Source organism: Homo sapiens, chromosome 20, assembly GCF_000001405.40.
Source record: "Homo sapiens chromosome 20, GRCh38.p14 Primary Assembly".
NCBI classification, from domain to species: Eukaryota; Metazoa; Chordata; class Mammalia; order Primates; family Hominidae; genus Homo; species Homo sapiens.
In genome coordinates this window covers 60,079,128-60,101,894 of record NC_000020.11, presented here as the reverse complement: position 1 = coordinate 60,101,894, position 22,767 = coordinate 60,079,128, and the positions used below count along the sequence as shown (strand labels likewise).

The 22,767-nt window shown below is 46.7% G+C and overlaps 1 long non-coding RNA gene across 3 annotated transcripts; it reads right to left on the bottom strand.

Annotated features, from left to right (window-relative positions):
- Positions 1 to 507: 507 nt before the first annotated feature.
- Positions 508 to 14,209, bottom strand: LOC729296 (uncharacterized). 3 transcript variants are annotated; one of them, NR_109917.1, is made up of 5 exons: positions 13,895 to 14,209; positions 13,174 to 13,298; positions 2,826 to 2,966; positions 1,676 to 1,724; positions 508 to 800 (listed from the first exon to the last, which is right to left on the bottom strand). It is a non-coding gene; the product is annotated as an uncharacterized LOC729296 (long non-coding RNA). The 3 variants fall into 3 exon arrangements; NR_109916.1 differs by having other exon boundaries at positions 508 to 1,136; positions 2,932 to 2,966; NR_109918.1 differs by having other exon boundaries at positions 508 to 803; positions 2,932 to 2,966.
- Between the last annotated feature and the right edge of the window lie 8,558 nt (positions 14,210 to 22,767).

The window sequence follows — 22,767 nt, the reverse complement described above, 5'->3', positions numbered from 1 at the left end:
ATGAGGAACAATCATAAGTATCAGAGCGGCCATTCCCCAGAGCTTATTCGGGGCTGGGCACTGAACTGAGCCCCCCACAGGCAACACCTCACTTACCTCTCACCGAGGAGGGAGGCGGAGTTTGCATCTGTCTTTGGAGGTGAGTGGCCTGAGACGCGGAGGTGAAGTGGCTTCTCCAGGGCCTGCTTGTAGGAGCCGGCGGTGCTGGAATGGAAACTCAGTCTGACTGACTCACAAGCCCCAGTTCTTACTTTGTTTGTAGAACTGTGAGTGTCCATGCCCACTCTCACTCTTGCAAGTTCAAGATCACCGAAATGAGTGTTTCCTGAATGCCTGAGCTTCCCGTTGAAGAAGTCCTGTGCCCACTGGCACAGATCACCATGGCTGTTCAAGACCCATTCCCATTCTCTGTGGACAGGGCTTTACTCCTCCCGGCTCTCCCCTGGACTCTGCTATCTGAATCATTCTGCTCCCCTCCCCCTGCCATACATGTGCCACAAAAACCACTGCTAATTCCAAGAGTTTACTTTCAAAAGAATTTCATTTGAGTTTACAAGAAGGTAACAGAAGCCCTTTGATCTCAACAAGGCACGTCCTGTTTCATTCCACGGTTTATGAAACAATTTTAGACTAATTATTTTTGACAACTTGCAAATGTTTGTAAACTTCTTCAAGAAGGAAATGGCACAATTATGTCTTCCTCTGACATACAGAGAAGGAAGTTTCCTTTGTGCTGAATGGCTGACGTCTGTTCCCCCAGGAGAATTTGGAAGCCTTGATCTTCTGAGGTGCTCTGGTTTCTGCTGAGATACAGAATGAATCAAATTGTCCTCTGAGCCGGTGTGAGTTAAATTTAACGAAGCAGGTGAAAAGCCACTGTGGTCAGAACTGTTCACTGTGGTGACATCCTTTGTCACATGGGCGTGATGGTCACGGTCAGATGCCAGCCCTCTCCCAGCATCTGTGCTGTTTACCTGTGTCTGTGCCCATAGCTGTATAGCTGCTGATAAACAAGCCTTGCCACTAAAAAGAACCTGGGTTCTTCATCTGCTTCAGCATTAAAGAAAATCATCTCAAATCATGGCTATTTGCAATGTGCCTGAGCAAGTCTGGGAGCTTGAAGAAACCCCCAGATCCTGGAAATGATAAATTAAAAACCACAGAATTGCAGCGAAGCAAAGTGAGGCCCCTGGGTTCAATACTACAGAGAAGTAGATTTGGGGTGGTCCCTCCACAGCCCAACTCACATTCTAATGCCCTTTTGATTATTGACCGTTGTTAATTCAAGTATATGCACAGCAAGCAGGTAGAAATATTGCCAAGCCAACCAATTCTTAATCCCTAGCTAATTCCTGGTCAACTAACTATATCCTTCCTTTATTAAAAAGAAAAGAAAAGAAAAGAAAAGAAAAGAAAAGAAAAGAAAAAGGCATTCCAAATCTTTTGTTGAAAACAAATTGCCAACTGAAGAAAAGAACTTTTTCTTCCCTTGAGACCAATGAGCTGAATTTTACACTCTGGCCCAATAAAAGGAATCACTCTCTGCTTCTCTCAAATATTTTTCCAGGGCACCAACAAAGTTCTCATTATTTTCAACATAAATCTGTTTTGTAATTTTTGGATGAAAAGTTCCTTTTCACTGCTGCGACTATAAGAAGAAATTCTCAATACTCACCATTAGGAGACAGTCACAAAAGCAGAAGCTTCGTCAAGCTGGTCCCTTTCTAGAAAGGTAATAAAGACAAACTTCAGATTTTTAATTTTTAAAATGGGACCAGTAGAAGTAGAAATGACGGGCAGGTATTTCTAGCATCACCCACTGAGGGTGCTTCCACCTAGGGAGAAACAGCGAGTGTCTCAGGGCGGGCTGATCTTTAGAAGGGAGGAAGCCCACTCACACTGGCCCAAGAAGGGGCTTAATATCAGGAATGTCAAGGAATTGAAGAAGACAAAGCAGCCGGCCTCCAGCAAGACAAGCAGGAAACAGAAGTCCCCTGGAGACGTGGCCAGCCCCACCTGAGCACCTGGGACCCTTCACACCCATTAAGGGGTGCAAGATGCAGCACCCAAAGCCCAACCCCAGCCCTGCCCTCATGCACCAATTTGGGGGCAAATGAGGGCATCTGTCATCTCTCCCAGAGTATAGACATACATGTCCCTCCTTTCCACTTCTACTGGTCCATTTAAAAATTAAACATCTGGGTCAAATGGTATTTCTAGTTCTAGATCCCTGAGGAATATACCCAAAGGACTATAAATCATGCTGCTATAAAGACACATGCACACATATGTTTATTGCGGCATTATTCACAATAGCAAAGACTTGGAACCAACCCAAATGTCCAACAATGATAGACTGGATTAAGAAAATGTGGCACATATACACCATGGAATACTATGCAGCCATAAAAAATGATGAGTTCATGTCCTTTGTAGGGACATGGATGAAATTGGAAATCATCATTCTCAGTAAACTATCGCAAGAACAAAAAACCAAACACTGCATGTTCTCACTCATAGGTGGGAATTGAACAATGAGAACACATGGACACAGGAAGGGGAACATCACACTCTGGGGACTGTTGTGGGGTGGCGGGAGCGGGGAGGGATAGCATTGGGAGATATACCTAATGCTAGATGACGAGTTAGTGGGTGCAGCGCACCAGCATGGCACATGTATACATATGTAACTAACCTGCACATTGTGCACATGTACCCTAAAACTTAAAGTATAAAACTAAATAAATAAATAAATAAAAATTAAACATCTGAAGTTTGTCTTTGTTACAGATGTAAACATCTGAAGTTTGTTTCTAGAAAGATACCAGCTTGGCCAAGTTTCTGCTTTTGTGATTGGCTCACAATGGTGAGTTAGTTGCATGCCAGCATCACAGCTTTGACCCATCCCCTGCACAGCACTGCACAGATCACCTGCACCATCGTTGACTCATTTCTTTTCTGTCGATCTACAAATAATAAGACCATTTAACAATTAAAAAACTATGACTTCCTTAGGGAGGGCAATTTGACAATGTCTGCCAAAATTAGAAGTTAATGTTCTCTTTTACTTAGCAACGCCACTTCCCAGATATGCTCCTATGCATGTGGGTCGATGTAAGTACAAGCTATTCCCAGCTACTCTGTTTACAGCATCAAAGACCACAGCACCTTAAGTGTCCATTAGTAGGGGATGGTTGAATGAACTGTGGTACATCCAGAAAATGGAATTCTATACAGCAGAAAAAAAGAATGAGGAAATATACAGATAGGGAATGATCACCAGGGTATACTGTTATGCCAAAAAGATACAGAACAGTTCATAAAGTATGCTACCATTTGTGTAGAAAACTGTTGAGGGAGAACATATATTTATAACAGGTTGTATTTGCATAAACTCTTTGGAAGGATGAACAGAAGTCAGTGGTAACACAGTGTGGGTAGGAGCTGGGTGGCAGGAGACAGATGGCAGGCAGAGTTTTCAATACAAACCTTTTGATTTACATTGATTTTTGAGCTGAGTGAGTGTCCTATCTGGCCAAAAATAAACAAAGCAATTATATATTTAAAGGAAGTTAATTTTCAAATCAAAGAACATGAAAACTATATATCACTCCTATACACGGAAAACTTATACCACTTCCCTTAACTGGTGCATAACCTTAAAAATAGATGAAACAAAGATTAGCTATCCAATCATGAAAAGACAGTGGAGAAGACAGAAACTCACATTGCTAAGTGAAAGAAGCCAATCTGAAGAGGCTTTGTATTGTGTGATTCCAACTGTATGACATTTTGAAAAAGGCAAAATTATGGGGACAATAAAAAGACCAGTGATTGCCAGGGACTACAGGGATGGAAGGATGAATGGCAGAGCCCAGAGGATTTTTAGGTCAGTGAGAGTGTTCTGTAGGATCTTGTAATGGGGGATATATGTGATTTTGCATTTGTCCAAACCCATAGAATGTATGACACCAAGGGTGAGCCCTAATGCAAACTATATGTCATCCATCTGTCAATGTCAGGTCATCAATTACAACAAATGTACCACCCTAGGGGGAATCTTGATAATGGAGGAGGTTGTGTGTAGGTGGGGGCAGGAGGTAAATGAGAAATCTTTGCACTTCCCACCTAATTTTACTGTGTACCTAAAACTACTCTAAAAATTAAAGTATATTTTTTAAATGGATGGAACACCACTATACAGTGTTAGTAACCTTTTAGCAGAGTCACCTGCAGAAGCTCCCATGCTGAGGCCCACTCTGTTTGCATTAGGAAAGGGTGTCAAAGAGAAGCTCAAGACAACTAGCACCAGCAGAGACTTCCTATGTCGTCTTCAAAGGCCAAGCAAGAGCTGAAATGCGTGGTTTTCTCACCCTGTGATTCAATGTCATTTTATGCCATGACACCACACTTCAGGAAACATAGGCAATCAATGCTGCTAGTTCCTTTTTCTTCTCCTCTCCCCAGAGGTCAAGTTGCCTTAATGAATTGCAGTACTGACTTGCTCCTTGTGGCTTCTTGTCTTTGATGAACGCTGTAGCAGTTGGACATGGCTCTTGAGCTGGGTAACAAGCAGCTCCGTAAATGCCCAGCAATCTATTAAGTGTGTCACGGTCTGCTCTTCACTCTGCACCTCTCCAAGGTGAACAGAAGAGGTGTCAGCTCCAGTTTGTGATGGTGTGTCAAAGCTGTGACAGGTAAATAATTCTTATTTTATCTTATTTTTTGCAGATGTTAACAGGCCATGTAATCAGATGCATCAATCTGATTTTCACAGACAGCAGCCCCTGAGCCAGTCCAAGCCTCAGTCCTGGGGCTGACGATGACCAGGAGCACGGGCTGAACAAGGGAACAGAGCCCCAGAGCTCTCTGGAGCCAGAAATTATGTTTTAGTTGTGGAGATCACAGAGCACTTCAGAGAGATTCCTGCGTGGGGAGCCATCTTGGACACTGACTGCCGAGGGCTTTCTGGCAGGTGACAGCATAGGACATTTGACGAGGACATTCTTACCTCCTTTGTCATTTACCTTGTTATTCTTGATGAGCAGCTGAGTGAGCATAGACTTGGAGCTGCCCATCTTACAAATGGAATATTAAACAGAGGCACTACAGCAAGGCTGCCTGGCAAAGGGACACGTGCGTGAAAAAAAAAAAACAGTGGAAGGTTGAATTATTTCTGGAATTTGATCTGCTAATTCATCAGCAGCTTAGGGAAGGCAAGGTATAACCAGAGTGCTTTGATTCTCTGTGATTGTTCCGGGCTTTGTCCCTCTCTGTGCATCTCTCTAACCCACAGGCTGGCCTCTGCGTGGAACAAGAGTGGTTGCAGGATCCAAAACCATGGGAATGCAGCACACCATCTGGAAGGAGACAGAGCTTTTCTTTCCCAGCTGCTTACCAAAGACGTGGGTGTCACTCAGATTGGACCGACTGGAGGCATCTTTCCACCCCTGAACAAGGACTACAGCCTTAGGCTTATGAAAGCTTCTCCTGGCATTGTAGATGCCACAATTCCAAGCCCCCTCCCCCACACGCACACGTGGGCACGCACACACACACACACACACACACACACACACACTTCACCGTGGGGAAGGGAGCAACAGCATTCGCATGGGAATTACATTTCATTATAATTGAGGTTTTATTTTAATCACCATCATTATCAGCAGCAGCTCACATCCACCCGGAGCGTCTATGCCGGCATTTTACTAGGAGCTTAGCATGGATTCCCTCACTTCACCCTCCCATCAACCGGAGAAATGATTTGCTCAAGGTCCTGTGGCCCATACATGGCTGAGCTGCAATGGGAGTCCAGGTCCCAACTCCAGTGCCTGTTTCTCTGACTGCGGAGCTATGGCTACAGCCATGCAGAGCACGAGAGAGTCTCCACGTAGGTCAGTAGGTACATGTGACTTGGAGTGGCTCATAACAAAAACTCAACTCAAATCAGTTTCAGAGAATAAGATGGGAATGCAAGGGACTCACTGGCTCACGCAAACGAGGGCTCTTGTCCCAGTTGTGCCCAGAATCTCCAAGGAGATGCCTGGGACTCGACCTTTCTCCTTCTGTCAGTTCCTCCTTCCTAGGTGGTGGCTTCAATCTCAGGACCTTCTGTTCACAGAGAGCTCCTCACCTGCCCCCACTAGCTTAGCAACCCTGGCAGAAAGCCATTCAGCATTGCTGACTTTATCCTCATGGGACCCTGTTGGGCAAGGAGCCCAGCCTTACACCAATCACAGAGGCCAAGGGTTTAGAATATGTGAGCTTGCCTGAGCTGGGTGATGTGTGCACCACATGGACTAAGAGTGGAGAAGGGATATTCCCCTGAGATAAAATAGAGGATCACCCTCCAGAAATTGGGGAATGCGTCCCAGACAGAATAGAATCACGGATACCTGCTACGAAAGACTTTGTCTCCCTCGGGAGAGTGTGAGCCTCTTCCTATCCAGTCTGTTTCCCACAAGACAGCAAAGCCAGCAGTCTGTCTGCCACCATCACCTGTCCAGTCCACCCCCTGCCCTGGCTTGTGTCCTTCCTCTTCTCCCACCTTAGCAGATAGTCTGCAGAAAGGGTCAACTCCCAGAAAATGCATAAAACTGATGGAGATTTCCCCCCATCTATGGACAGCATTCTTGCGCCCATTTGCCCATAGTCTTCCCATCTACCTTGTGAGCTTGTTCTCAGGGAAAGCCCTGCTATCAGTCATTCACATGTTAGTTCAATGTTTGCCAAACTTAAATCGTCTAGGGAACCCCTATATGAATCATACCCTACACGCATATCACCAGGACCACATTGTTTACTTCATATTTTTCTTCAAATTATCTCAGCTTTCAAATGAAAATAAATACACTTAAAAATGAAACTTGCCACAAATAGAAAACAATCAAAAAAAGGAATACCATGAAAATCAATGAATATTATTATATTCTGCTGAGGTACTGCAGCTGTCAACACCTCTGGGCCTCTGGTCCATTCTCCCTGTTAAGAAAGAGAAAATGGCAAGAGCCACAGAGGCGGCTGAGCCCCAGTCTGAGACACTCTCTGAGGCTCTCAGGACTGAATGGAACTGAAGAGGAAGAACGAACGTTTACTGTGTGGATGGTTACTTAATGCCAAGTCTCTGAACACCTCCTGGTGGTAAGTGCCCCTCACTCACCAGGGCACCCCTGGTAAGCACCCCAGAAAAGCCATCAAGGACCTCAACCCTTCTCCTGGAATGAACAAGAACCCCCCACAGGGAGTCATTTCTGGTCCAGGAAAAAGATGATGCCCCACACTCTTGGAAGCAAACCAATCAATACCTGCCCTGCAGTTTATGTAACACACACATCTTAGAATCCTTAATGTACACTTACATGAATCCCTTCCCTCCAATCCAGACAGCATCAGCCAAGAACCTCAATGAATTAAAACAGAGAATGGCAAGCTCTCTCGGGGGTTGTTGGCCCCACTCTCCTGTGGCTTCTTCCCAATGACCCCTGCTTATCGAAAAGCGTGGGGACACACAGAGGATGAAGGGTTGCCCCTCTGTTGTCAGAGGGAGAACAGAGGGCAAGACTCTCAGGAAATGGGGTTTCCAAGGCAACAGAGAAAATAAGCGACTTCATGTCCATGCAACAATGTCACCTGGAGCCGTCCCAGAGAGTAAGACAATCTTATCTACTAATGTGGAGAGATGGCCAAGACAAAGCAGAGGGAGAGAAGAGCAACCGTCTGTGGTTTTATCGCAGCAAGCGATGTCTGTCTCCATACCCAGAAATGAGCATGTGCTCTCTCTATGTATAGATCAGATGACATGGAGACATTCATTAGGCAACTACAATGTGCCTTTGCTCCTCTTACCCTCAGAACTTCCTTGAGGGGCAGGCATTATGATTCCCACTTTACATCAGTGGGAATTTGGACTTGGTGAAGTTAGGTTGTTTGCCAGAGTTATAGGCACTGATTCAGGAACCTGCCGTTCTGGTGTTTACAGCCTGCACCCCTGACCATCAGAGGCCAGACTGCTCCCTGCAAGGATGCCAGCATGTGCATGAGAGAAAAGTCTGGAAAATCATACAAAAGCATCAACAGGCCCTATCCTTAGGGGGCGAGATGGCAAAAAATGACCTCTTTTTTTCCTGTTACTCTACTTACTTCTGTGTCATTTGAGCTTGACTTTACATTGGGCATGGATAGGTTTTGTATTAAAAGTGAACCAGGCAAGAACCCTGGGTAAGGCAGGGCTCTACCCTGTCTCTCCCAGTGAGTGTAACAATAAAAGCTGGGCAAAATTGCATGGAGCACTATTTGTGAGCTCTGAAAGTAGACAGTGGCAGGCAAATCCAGAAGAAGACCAGAATGTGAAGTGCCACTGAGTGGGCAGCAGGCTCGCCATTCTTCTCCTTCTGGACCCCCGAGCCTGATACCAGCACAGCCTGAGACCTGGACATGGGCATCAGGACTCAGACAGAGAAATCAGTGGGGAGGCCTCTGGTCTGGCTTGGGGAGTGAGAAAGCAAACTCCTAGGACTCTGAGAGAGTGCAGAAATCCCCACATTTTTCTTTTTTCCATTCTCTCAGCCCCCAAGCAATAATCAGTGGCAGAAATAGGTTCCCACAAGAGCCAAAATTCTGAAGGAGGAGATGCCTCCTTTCTAGTCATTGGAGTTTCAGAAATAGAGGAGAAAGAGTGCAGGGCTGAAAAAATATGTAATGAAATGATGGCCAAAAACTTCCCAAATTTCACAAAAGATATAAGCCTGCAAATTAAGAAGTTCAGCAAACTCCAAAGGTGATAAACCCAAAGAAATCCACACCCAGACTATTTTGTATTCAAATTGTAATCAAATATTTCACTATTTTGTAATCAAAATGGTGAAAATTAAAGTAACTAATAATAATAATCTTGAAACTGACAGGGAAATGCAATCTATTTAACCTGTAGGAGAACAATGATCTGAATGACTACAGATTTCTCATCAGAAAATATGGAGGTCAGAAGGAAATGGCACACCACCTTTGAAGTGCTGAAAGGAAAGGATGTTCAAACCAGGATTTATCCAGAGAAAATACACTTCCAGAATAAAGGCAAAATAAAGATGTTTTCAGATGAAGGAAAACTAAGAGAATTTATTGCCAGCAAACATGTACTTCAAGAAGTACTAAAGGAAGTTCTTCAAAAAGAAGGAAACTTGAAGAATCAGGAATGAAGAAGCAACAGAAATGGTAACAATCTGAGTAAGTATAACAGATTGTTCTCCTCCTGAGGTTTATTTGTTTGTTTGTTTGTTTGTTTGCTTGTTTTGAGACACGGTCTCGCTCTGTCACCCACGCTTGAATGCAGTGGCACCATCATGGCTCACTGCAGCCTCAACCTCCCAGGATCAAATGATCCTTCCACCTCAGCCTCCTAAGTAGCTGGGACTAGAGGTGCATGCCACCACACCGGGATAATTTTTGTATTTTTTGTAGAGATGTGGGTTTCACCATGTTGCCCAGGCTGATCTTGAACTCCTGAGCTCAAGTGATCCACTGGCTTCAGCCTCCCAAAGTGCTGGGATTACAGGCGTGAGCCATGGTGCCCAGCCCAGTTCCCCTCCTGAGTTTTAAAAAATCTGCTGGATGTTGGAAAATAACAATTATAACCTCTGATGGGTCTTCACCCTATGTAGATATCATACATAAGACAAGTATAACATACAGAACATACAGGGGGACAGTGAAGGGACCTACAACATTTTCTGAATTCTGAATACACCACTTGTTCAATAATGACTCACAAAAATTACTCAGTAAATACTTTCTACTGGAATGCACTATGTGTTGTCCCAAGCCCCATGCTCACCAACAGGAATAGGGAGACTTTGATGAAGAGAATGGTCTTGGTCTATGAAGACTCCACGGTCTCTCAGTGACTCAATGGCCAGATCCTACCAGGAAATAAAGCAAGGAACCTCCTGCAATAGGTCCCTTGGAGCTTGGAGGAGAACAGTTTTGCTTCCCCTAAGATATCTTCCCCCACAAGAAAACTAGGAGAGCCCAGAAGGTCACACATACTGCAGGAAGCCTGGGGCCTTTTCATATACTTCAGTCATTTTTGTTTGTTTGGCAAATTGCATTTTATTTTTGAAGACTATTGGTCAGAGAGCCTCCCCATCTCACACATAGATTGATGGATGAGCAAAATATAGAGAGATACAACACAGAGAGAGAAGAGAGAGCAAGCTTCTGTGGGTCATCGTTTACTGCTCTCCTCAGCCAATATCGCTAGCATTGCCCAGTATGATCCTCAGGAGCCCTGGGACCAAACTGTTACACTCACGGCCAGAGCCTCCACCTCTCTCCCCTTGGGAATGTTATCCTCGCTGAGCTAGCAGCAGCAATAAATGATCTGATTTGTGATCTGTCCCTTTGCTCTTGGGACTGTAAATGCAGCTTTAGTATGTGATGCACAGGGCCGGGCTGTTCCCAGCCTCCCAAGTAAGCAGCTACCCAAGGCTGTAATTTCACTTTATCTCTCTCCCATTAAAAGGCAATTGAAAGTGAACCAAAGAGAATGAGGGCTGCTTGCAACTCCTGGAACCCTTGAGCAGTGCTTGCTGAAGGGCAGCTGGTGGCCCAAAGGCACCTGGTGCTAAAGGAATGGAAAAAAGGCAACTATTTGCAGAATGGCAAACTCTTAATAATAGTCACAGTAATAATCATCACAATAACTGCTGCTGCTTATGGAACACTTCTGGATGCCAGGCTCTGTGCTAGGGGCACATGTAAATGCCTTTGTTGATATCACAAGACGAATTTGCAGTAGAAGAATCTGAGTGAGGTCCAGCAAAGGTCTCAGCTTATAAGTCAGGGAGCCAGGAGCTGAACTTGGCTCTGCCAGATTCCAAAGTGTCTGCTCAGAACTGCCATATGCTCCTCCTCTTAGAACCTGGAGGAGTTAGCAGAGTCCTTCCCTTAAATTTCTGTTTTTAAATGGCAGAAGAAGGTTCCTCTGAAATTACATTTCATCAATAAGCATTTGGTAGCCAATGAGCACTAGGACTCAAGATTCAGACCCCACCTCCAAATCACGTGTTCTTCTCAGCACTCCAAGGCTCTCCGCTCAGATTCTGCTGAAGCAGCTCCTGGGAAGTTTACCACTTAAAATGACCCACCAGGGGATGGGTGGGATTCCAGAGCCCAGGACACACAAACTGTTTTACTCACGGACAGAGCCTCCACCTCTCTCACCTTGGGAATGTTCTCCTCGCTGAGCTAGCAGCAGCAATAAATGATCTGATTTGCGATCTGTCCCTTCGCTCTCGGGACTGTAAATGCAGCTTTAGTAAGTGATGCACAGGGCCGGGCTGTTCCTAGCCTCCCAAGTAAGAAGCTACCCAAGGCTGTAATTTCACTTTATCTCTCTCCCATTAAAAGGCAATTGAAAGTGAACCGAGGAGAATGCGCGGTGGCAGAGGGGCCACACTGGAACTGCAGGCTTGACAGACAGTATTGGCATCTTTGATGAAGATTCAGCAAATGTTAGGAGAATTGCCAATATACACCCATTCTGATAAACTCAGGCCATCCTCAGGAGCAGAGGAGAATGTTTCCAAGTCAGTGAAAATCCCCAAGAAGAGGAGGAGGATGAAGGGCAGGGACTCTGCCTTCAGGGTCGATTTGCTGGGGCACCTGGCTTCTCTCTTTGTGACCTTGAGTAATTAATTAATACCTGACTGGGGCTCCATTTTCTCATCTGTGACTTGAGGATAAAGACAGTGCCCATGTACCCTTTTGGGAGGAGCAAATTTAAAATGCACTTAAGATGCTTCACACAGTCAACGGAAATTGTTAATTGCATAGTAAACATTAGCAATACATAAGTCCATTCTTATTGATGATAACAGTGCGTGTCTTCTATCAGGCCAGTGAGCACTTTCTTTTTGTTCAGTCTAGTTTCTGTGAAAACGGTGAGGCTGGTCAAGTCTAGTGGCCCTTTTTGCACCTTTTTTGCACCTTTTTGCATTTCTCCCCCTTTCCTCAGATTCCAGGCCTATGACACACTGTTGTCCAGTCCCTAAGAAATGCAACCATCAATGAATTTGTTCCTTGTAAGATACGTGTGGCTAAGTGCAAGCATTTCATTTTAAAAAGGGCATCTAAGAAGAGCTGTGTGGTGGACAACGGGGCACCATCGAAGCTGAGCGGGGGTGGCAGCAGGAGCACTCACACGTTCCTGCCATTGTAGATTGTAGGGCTGCTGACTGGGGAAGGAAGGAGAGCCCCCCTCTCGTTTTACAGGAGAGGGTGGGAGATGAGGTCCACAGAAGGAAGTGGATTGCTCAAGGTCAGTTAACAAATTAACGCGAGATGTGGGCACAGGACCAGTTTCACCTGAGAGCATCGCATGCCCTTCCCACATCATCCCATTGCCTGGGTGACTCCTACTGTGAGGAAGTGAACAATATCTGTTAAGACTCTTCTGCTGCTACAGCGGCTCAGGCCTGTAATCCCAGCACTTTGGGAGGCTGAGGTGGGCGGATCACAAGGTCAGGAGCTCAAGACCAGTCTGGCCAACATGGTGAAACCCCGTCTCTACTAAAAATACAAAAATTAGCTGGGCATGGTGGCGTGTGCCTGTAATCCCAGCTACTCAGGAGTCTGAGGCAGGAGAATTGCTCGAATCAGGACCTGAAAGGCGGAGGTTGCAGTGAGCTGAAATTGCACCACTGCACTCCAGCCTGGGCTACAGAGCAAGACTCCATCAAAAAAAAAAAAAAAAAAAAAAAAAAAGACTCTTCTGTTACAGGTGATAAAATCCCATGCAAACTGGCTACTGGCTTCTGTTTAAAAAGGAAGTTATTTGCTTGCATATCAGCAAAGTTAGGGAGAGGAGCTCTGCCTTCAGAACCAGCCTTGTTCTGGTAGCATTGCAGGGACGCTGCTCTGCCTCAGCTCCTTGTCACCATGTCACAACATGGAAGTGGACAGAGAGAGGCAGCCCCTACTCAATTCAACCAAAACACTCAAAACACTCAGAGCTCAGTCCCATTGCTCATGATTGGCTTCATTAACCCACATGCCCTACCCTGAATCAGTGGCTGCAAAGAGGGCAGTGCGGGCCTTTGATTAACAGGCCTGGGTCACCTTCTGGCCATATGGAGGGTCCATGAGTCAAGGTCTATTCAGGGAAACAGAACCCACCTAGGTCTTCCTTGCCTTCCAGCTTTTGGGTTGGTCAAGCTGGGGTGGAGAAGGCCTTTTGTTTCCAACCTCCCCACCTCATTGGCCTCTCTGCTCTTCCATGGCTGGTGTCATAACCTCTAGAACTAAAGAAGAAATGAGAGGAGGGTGACATTGCCAGGACACAGACGCCAAGGCCATCCTGCTGAAGGTGGAGTCAAGTCAGGGGTGTGCTGGCTGGAGCGGGGAAGAAAGGGGGAGGGGCTGTGCCACGGGAGTGGTGAGGGAAACACATCAGTGCACGAGACCCCCATCCCAGGCCACGGGAGAGAGGAGCAAACACCCTGGCTTCTGCCCTCCTCCCTCCTTCCGTCAGTGTTCCACGTCTTCCCAGAGGCCTGTCCTGGCAGCACCCACCCACCCACCCACCCACACAGAGGGCTTGCCCAGGGCGAGAACTGCACGCAGAGGTCTGGTAGCCGCTGTAGGACCCAAGGCTCTCCTTGCTCCTCCATGGCTCTGAGCTCCCCTCTCTAGGCATACTCAGGTCAGAAAAGCAGTGAGAGCTAAACCTGCTGCCCTGTGGTAGCTCCCCATCCCGGATGGGCTGGCTGTAGCCCCGAGCTTTATTCCTCCCTTAATCCCTGCAGCCAAGAGCAAGGCTGTCACCACAGGAAGCTGTCCCTGTCCCAAGAAAAGAGACAGACTCAGCGGTTCAGAGCAGGGCTCTGCAGCCTCATACCTGGGTTTGTCTCAGATCTGTCACTTTCTCATCAAGTGAACATGAGTAAGATATTAAACAGCACTGGGCCTCAGCTTCCCCGCGGGTAAAATGGGCGGCAGAATACAGCACCGGGCCTCGGCTTTCCCGCGGGTAAAACGGGCGGCAGGATACGGCATCGGGCCTCGGCGTCTCCGCGGGTAAAACGGGCGGCAGGATACGGCGCCGGGCCTCGGCTTCCTCGCGGGTAAAACGGGCGGCAGGATACGGCGCCGGGCCTCGACTTTCCCGCGGGTAAAACGGCCACAGGATACGGCGCCGGGCCTCGGCTTCCCCGCGGGCAAAACGGGCGGCACGATACGGCGCCGGGCCTCGGCTTCCTCGCGGGTAAAACGGGCGGCAGGATACGGCGCCGGGCCTCGGCTTCCCCGCGGGCAAAACGGGCGGCAGGATGCGGCGCCGGGCCTCGGCTTCCCCGCGGGCAAAACGGGCGGCAGGGTACGGCATCGGGCCTCGGCTTCCCCGCGGGCAAAACGGGCGGCAGGATGCGGCGCCGGGCCTCGGCGTCCCCGCGGGCAAAATGGGAGGCAGAATATCTGCGGCGCTGCTGCAAGGCCCGATGAGATAACCAATATCAGCTCCGACCTTGGCACCCTAGCAAAGAGGGTGCCCACAGCAAGGAAGGGCCATTCTCATCTGAACACACTTGGTCCAGGAGGAAGCATGGAGCCATCCAGGGAAGTCCTAAAAACCAGGTGTGCCCTCATTTATTCAATCTCATCATAAAATCCCATTAAATCAGTCAACAAATATCAACTGAGGACCTACCTACTAGGTGCTACAGCCTGCCCCAGGCTACACACTAGGTTACGTAAGTGACCACCAGGACAACAGAAATAACACTCCAGCATCACAGCTCTTCATGACTGATCCCTTTTTATGAGTCAAAACAAGCCTGGGGGGATGGTTGAGGTACTGTGAAAATGCATTATTACTGCCCCAGGCATCCAATTACATATATAAGTTGCATGTTCTAATTAAATTTTCCTAATGTAATGTCGGCTTTGCCCGCTGCTATTAATTATTGAAGCCACGTTCAGCTTAGGTGGATTTTCCTCTCCCGCCTCACCTTCCATTCACTCTTCACTCCTGGCTGCCCTTCGGCTGGCTGCAAACTCCCTGAGGATGGGTCCTCTTTGAGCAAAGGCACCCACCGTGAGGCTCCCCTGTTGGACAGAGGAGGAGTCACCCATAGGAGGAGAAGCAAGCATCACCAGGCTGCTTCGTAACGAACACGTTAAGCACAATGATGGTAATGGAAGGTACTCCAAAACATCAGTGCACTTCCCTGCACTCTCTCCCAAGAGGCTTGTTTGCTCCCTTCTCACCATCACCCACTCCCTGACCTAAAAAGGTGGTAACTACTCCCTCAGAAGGTTGAAGACTGTGGTCAGATCCCAAGACGCAAGCATGCAGGTGGATCTGGCAGAGGGACGTTCCCAAGCCCCTGAAATCAGACTTTAAAATGTGCTGTGGAGGAAGGAAAGGTGGGGACCGGAGAAAGAACATGGAACCAGGCCTGGAGCTTTTTCTGCTGGTGGCCATCCTGGGAGCTGCCCCAAAGCAGCAAGCCTAGCCCTTCGCAAAGGCTCATCCTGCAGCAATGCACCTGCCATGCCCCAGACTCTGCCATGGCTCTCACCCACAACCAGCCCTCCTTTTGTGGTAAGCATCCAAGAGCTGCATAAGACCGATATGTTCCTGAGCCCTGGACCGTGCTTGAGGTGTGCCAACAAGCATAGCTGGAATGAATTCCTATTCACAACATTAGGAAGAAAGACATGCCACATTCTTTATTTTCTTTAAGCCAAAGTTCATCTGCAAATAACCGCCACTATCCAAGAGACAGCAAATTCAACTGCATTCATTATTACTCCCCCGACCCCATGGTATCTTTAAGGGCCTGGACTCACACGTAGTGGACACCCCACAGAGATGGGGCCACGAGGGCGGGACCTCAGCCCAAGTCTTCTACTCTACATGCTGGTCCCCTGAGCTCAAGCTGTCACTCAGCTCCAGGGAAAGGGCTCAGGGCGCCCCTAGCTGCAGTCCATTCTAGTACAGAGTGACCCACAGGACCCTCTCAGCTGCTCTCCAGGCCATGGGAAATAGTGCCTAACTGCCCAACCACCCACAGCAGCTTCTCATCAGGCATGCTGCAGCCTAGCCCCATTCCTGTCCTCAGCAAGAGAGGACGCCCACTGCCATGGTGTCTGCCAATTCTTACTTTTGCAAAAGACAAGTCACTAAAACCTCCGTTTTCTAGACACAGAGGCTTAGACCTGCAAAATGAAAGCTTGGCTGCCATCCATATTGGGAGTGGAAGTAGGGAAACACCAACCAAGAGGTAAAGTCTTCTTCAGCATACGACTGTATCCAAACACCTCATATAGGGGCATCTCACCTGCCACATGCAGACACTTTTGCTCTCTGCCCCCAAATGAATCTGAAACACACTGGGAACAAGAGTGGCTCCAACAGCTGATATGCTTAGGGAGAATTTTAATCTTTTATTCATTCAACCAGAAAACATCTTCATGAGTGCCTGTGACATGCTAGGCATTGTGCAGGTACTGCGGACACACCCGTGGACAAGACAGACACAGTTCCTGTCCACGTGATGCTGTAACTATAGAAGGGAGAATAATGCCGCATAAGCATTAGGGGTGCAGTGGAAGTGAATTCCAGGCTACAGCAGGTACAACTCAGCATAGTCTGGAGTCAGGGTGTAGTGATTAAAACACAGACTAGGGAACCAAGACGCTTGCATTTGAATCTCAGCTCTTCTACCTTGCATGTAACCTTGGACAAGTTCATTTATCTCTTAGTGCCTCAGTTTCTCCATCTGCTAACTGTAGACCGTATGTTATCTATGTCATAGGGTTATTGTGAGGATTGAACAGGTTAATCTATGTAAAGGCAAGTATCTGTCACATAGCAAGAACTTTATTAATGTTTGCTTATACGGTTATTCAGGGAAGTCCCCACTGAAGAACTGAGACTGAGACATGGAAAATAAGCAAGATTTGGCTAGGCAAGAGCAGGGAAGGATGTTCTTGGCAGAAGAAACAGCATGAGTGGAGGCTGGGTGTGGGGAAGTGTGGCATTAGAGGAACTGGAAGAAGATAGGGAGGCAGGGAGCAGGATGGGAGACAGATGGAGAAATTCGTTGGGATCATACCCCAAAAAGCCTTAGGCCATGTAATGAGTTTGAACTTTGACCTCAAGAGCCATGGAGGTTTTAAGTAAAGGTTAACTAGATGTCATTCCAGCTACTACATGGAGAATGGATTAATGAAGGTGATGGCAGGAAGACCAATTAGGAGATTGCTGAAACTGCAGATGCAAGAAATGGTGTTGGCATGGTCCAAGGAGGTGTTGGTAGAGATGGAGGGAAGTGGACAAATTCAAGAGATCATGAGAAAATAGAAGAGGCAGTGCTTGGTGAATGATCTGGTATGTGGGGCAAAGGAGAATGGAAATTTAAAAATGATGCCAAGCTGTCACACTTACTTGGAAGACTGGGTAGACAGTAACACCATTCACTGGACTTCACATAAGATAAAAAATTCTTGAAGGGGACATTATCTGTCCTGTTCTGGTCATTTGGGATCCAAAGGGAGAAATTCATCAGGTAGTTGGATATGGAGATTTTGAACTGGGAGGAGTGGTCATCACAGTGCCTGAGATGCCAAAATTCTACACAGACAAGGTCCTTTATAGAGTGTATTTGGAATCAGCTCTCACTGGACCAGCTCCAGCTAAGTGCCCTGTGAAGGGCACTAGGATTTCAGAGATGAATAAACATTGTCCCTGCCGCGGGGGGTGACAATCTCATTGACCCTGCAGTCATTCTCCATCTGCCTTTATGGTACGGCATCTCTGTTCACCAAAAACACCATGGTTCAAGCCCTGTGATTTAGCCTGTAGAACGCTAAAAGACTTTCTCTACTTCCTTATTGTGACAGACAGATTCCATTAAAGCATCCACAACCCTGAAGCTCTGTTTCTCCCCCACTGCCTCCCCCCAAGAAGTAAAAGAGGATGATTATTAAAAATTACAAGTGCCACCTTCCACACTCCATCTCCCAAACTTCATTTCACAATGGCTGCTGACATCAATAATGTCAGACAGGATAATCAAGTTTGCATAATGTAACAGTTCTCCAAGGGTCCCTCTGCACAATCACCCCTCCCAGCCTGCATATAGGGAAACAGACCTTAGATTAGGCAGAAAAGGCCCTTAGACTGTCAAACACAAGAGTCCTTTCTCCACATGCGATTTTACAGGAGTTAGCCTCCATCAGAAAAGCTGACTTCTGATTCCAGTTTGACCCTTTATTGGCAGGAGGACAGGGGCAAATCATTGAATCATCCTGTGCCTCAATTTTCTCTGCTTTAAAGTGGAAATAACTCTGTAGTATTCTAAAAGAATGTCGATCTTGAATGGCATATATGTACCATGTAATTGATGAAGTTTATTAAGAATAAAAATATGGTGATAGTTCAATAAGTTACTTTGTCAACTTAATATTTGTTAACATACATTGCCAATAATTTATTTGGAAAATAACTAATATTTAGTAAAATAGAACAACAGAATTGCTGGCTTCTGGTATGTCTTAACATGAACTCCAGAAAAAATATTAAAAATTCAAAAATCAATGACACACTTGGGAAAATCGGGTTAAAATGAACAATAAATTAAAACAACTTCTTGTGGCCTCTTGGTAACTTTTACTTATAACATGTAATTATTTGCAATTTATTGCAGATAGATACGGTGGGCTGTATGCCATTTACATTCAGTTTAAGATATGAAACGCAAAAGAACACTTGATAACAAAACAATACATCTGAGAAGATCTCCACAAACTTGCCGTGTTTTTCTGAGCCAGGCTTTGACATACTGGGTGCTTCTGCCTTGCATGCCTCCCTCCACCTGCCTCCTGACTGTCCTCGTAACTACTTCCTGTTCATCCTTCCATAATCTCCTTACATATTACTTCATCTGGAAACTATGTCTGACCGTGCATGCTGTACCTCCACTGCCCAACACAGTGCATGGCACAGGGGAGTGCTTATGTACATTCCCTAAATGGATAAATGAAATGATTGAGGCAATCATAAAGCTTAACAGTTAGTGAATGGCTGAGGCTTAACGTGCATGACCAAGGCCTCAGAATCCTACTCTAAGAGCAAGCAGGAAAGGTGAACCCTTAGGACGAAGACATTATAAAATTTCCTTTGGGAGGCCGAGGTGGGTGGATTACTTGAGGTCAGGAGTTCAAGACCACCCTGGCCAACATGATGAAACCCTGTCTCTACTAAAAATACAAAAATTAGCCGGGCATGGTCGTGTGCACCTGTAGTCCCAGCTACTCAAGAGGCTGAGGTGGAGGATCGCTTGAGCCCAGGAGGCGGAAGTTGCAGTGAGCCGAAATCATGCCACTGCACTCCAGCCTGGGTGACAGAGGGAGGCACTGTCAAAATAATAATAACAATAATAATAATAATTCATGCCATATCTTTTTCAGAGGGCTTGGAAGAGACTCAAAGGGAAAAATACTTTCAAAAACACTCTGTGGACTACAAAACACTGTCTGCCCCGTGATGAAATATCTCATTTCGCAGAGGATGTTTAAAACACCTTTGCAATTTGCACAAATGCACACCAGTGCCCAGTCTTTGCATGGAATAACATTCAAAGACACACATTCCAACAGCTAAAAATGATTAGCAATAAATTACCATCTTTTCTTGCTTCTCTCCACAGACATTAATGGGAAACCTATTCATAACCCAAAGCATCACTTCTCCAAATTTCCTTTCTTCCCCAATTACCTTATATCCTCCTGATGTCCCACCTGCCAAACCCCAAAATCAATCTCCTGATATCCAAAGTGATCCTCTCTTCCCCTCCTCCTCCTCCACCCACCCCTTCTCTATGTCAACTTCCTGGGCACTGCCGCCACCTCTCCCAGCTTCCTCTTCATGCCACCCATAACCCAGATATTACAAAGAACAGAGAGCCTGGATGCTATTCCAGCCAGTATGAATCCCTCCATCGTCTTTCCAGTGGGCCCTGACTTTTCATCTCTGAATCTCACGTCTTAGACAGAGGAAGAACTGGGGACAGCAAAGTCAAGTCCTTAATGGTTTGAGGGTCCTGCGAGGAGGTGCCTGACAATGCCCAGCCATTCATCAGTCCTGTCTCGCTGGAATCTCTGCTTCTATTTTGACAGCATTTTGCAGTTTACAAAAATGTTTCCTTTCCATCATCTCTACCTTTCTTTGCCAAACTGGGAAGTGATTCTCCCTCTGCCCCGACCTTTTTTGTTTTTATTTTTTCCAGATGAGGAAACTGAGGCTTAGGTAATCAAAGGGACCAAAGAAAAGTCACACATCAAGTAGGGAACAGAACGGAGCTGAAACAACACAACCTCTGACCGTGAGTGCACAGATCCCAGCTCTCCTTTATGCTCTGTGTACTAGCTATCAGGCATCACACTCTAGTGAATGGATATGATTACCATCATCCTCACTTTACAGATGCATAAACTGAGGCTTGAAAAGGTAGAGTAACTTGACCAAAGTCTCACAGCCAGAAACTGGCAAATTTGGCACTTGATCCCAATCTGATTAACTCTAAGATCCGTGTTCTTAACCGCTATGACATCTGCCCCTTAGATGTTTGTCCCATTAAATATGATAAAAAATGCTAATAGTTCCTCACTTCTTTTTTCTCTGCTTGGGGCATAGAGCTCACCCTTCAAATATTAATGAAGTCAAATAAACATGTCTTTTGTGACCTTCCTCAGCACCTCCTTCCACCGGTGTCCCAGGACAGCGGCCTCTCACCTCCAGGTGCACACCTTGCCCATTCCTACTTTGGAGGCTGCATCACCTGGATCCTCTCAGTGAAGGGCTCTCTGCAGCAAGCTGTCAGGGAAGGAGCTTGAGTCCACAAGTGAAAACTGTGGGCACCTCCACCAGCAATAACACCAGCTCAAGTTCAAGACCAGGACTGTTCCCAAAGGGCTGTCTTTTACTTTATTTTTATAACCTCAGATGAATTCTCTAGGTCTTTGGGGGCTTTTATTTGGTCAGGGAAGAAAATCAAGCAAGATTGATTTTTCCCTTAACCTCAGTACCAGAAAACTGTAACGAGCTTGGCCCTTGGGTCAGACAGACTTGGGTTCCAATTCCTGCTCTTTCCGTTGCACCCTGGGGGACCCAGGGCAACTGTTTAACCCCTGAGGTTGAGGTTGGGTCTGTCTGCAGTGAAATGGAGATGAAGCATATTGAAGACCCAGGTGAGACTCCCTGTGTGCTGTACCCCTATCCACAGAAGCCAGCACACACGATACTCACCTGGGGGACAGAGGAGGGCTGAGTTACATCAAATCCTTTCTGTGCACCGTGAGCCACATGGTCTCCTTCCCACTCCCACACCTTCGCTCAAGCCTAGACCCAGGGGCATTGTACAGCTGGGGTCTCTGCCCTTCCGCCCCTTCCCTCTCTCCGGTTCCCATTGTGCTATGATGGCTCTGAAGTGTCAAGAAAGTCTATTTTTTTCAATCGAAAAAGGAGAATTCTTACATCTTAAGTCTGGGTGCTGCCTTGAAAGGTCACCCAGTACATACCCTTGACTTTAGATGGGGTCATTTTTAACTAAGCCAGACAAAGAGGAGCTTTTTCCCCATATTTGCTTAAAAAGGACACTCCTTTCCCTTTTTGTGGTTGGGAAGAAGCTAATTTTAACACATCAGAAGAGATATTTAAAGGGCCGAGTAATATGCAGTCAAATGTGCCAATTATACCTTTGAGCCATTTGGGTGACCGCATAATGAGTGGGCCGTTTTTATAGGCGGCCGTCTGGGTCAAGGCCTCATAGGGGCTGTAAGGTCAACCTTTCTTGTTCTTGGTTTTGTAAATCGAACAGGGATAGCCTAGACATGCAGATAAAGACCTAAAGTCATGATGAGCAAATTGGGACAGATTAGTTCACTTGATCTATAAGTGATCATTCTGGAAAAAATCAGAGCATGATAGCTTCCTAATCAAAAGCCCTCACCTGCTCAGCCTCCTGAATGGAGGACTGCCAGTCCCTGCAGCTGACAGCCTAGGCTTTGACATATTTTTTGTCTTATCATTTGAATACCTCAAGAAAGATAATCCAATAAAAAGAGGAAAATAATATTGGAGCTTCCAGCCAAAAGAGAGAGGCATTCATTGAGGCCCAACACCAGCTTTAAAGGGAGCCAAGGGCCTGGGTGTTCCTGATGAGCGATGAGACTTAGACGGGACAGCGCTGAGCATGACAGAGGGGGAGCCCTGTCCCCATAGTCAGAGCCTCCACCTGTGCCAAAAGCAACCCTGCAGAGGAAGAGCCACCTCAGAGGTGCAGGCGGGAGGGGTTCTGCATGCAGAGCACCCCAAGGCTGAGAGCAAGGCCTGGGCAGAGCTCACACGGAGGGGTCAGGGGTCAGGTGAGCAGGGTCTTTGATAGGCTCCATCAAGGCCTCTCAGGGGCTGACCACCTGCTCTTCAGTCACGCCTTGTCTGCACCTTCCTGTCTCTCAATGGGTCTCCACTGGCAGCGATTTTGACTTCCAGGGAACATTTAGCCTTGTCAAGAGATGCTTCTGGTTATCATATCTGGAGAGGGAGTGCTACTGGCATCGAGTGGGTAGAGGCCGGGGTACCGTGCACAGCACAGCCCCATGACACAGAAGCATCCTGCACAAAATGTCAATAGCGCCGAGGCTAAGAAACCCTGCCCTAGAGCCTGGGTGGACATTTCGGAAACGATCATGCCAGCTCTGCAAAGT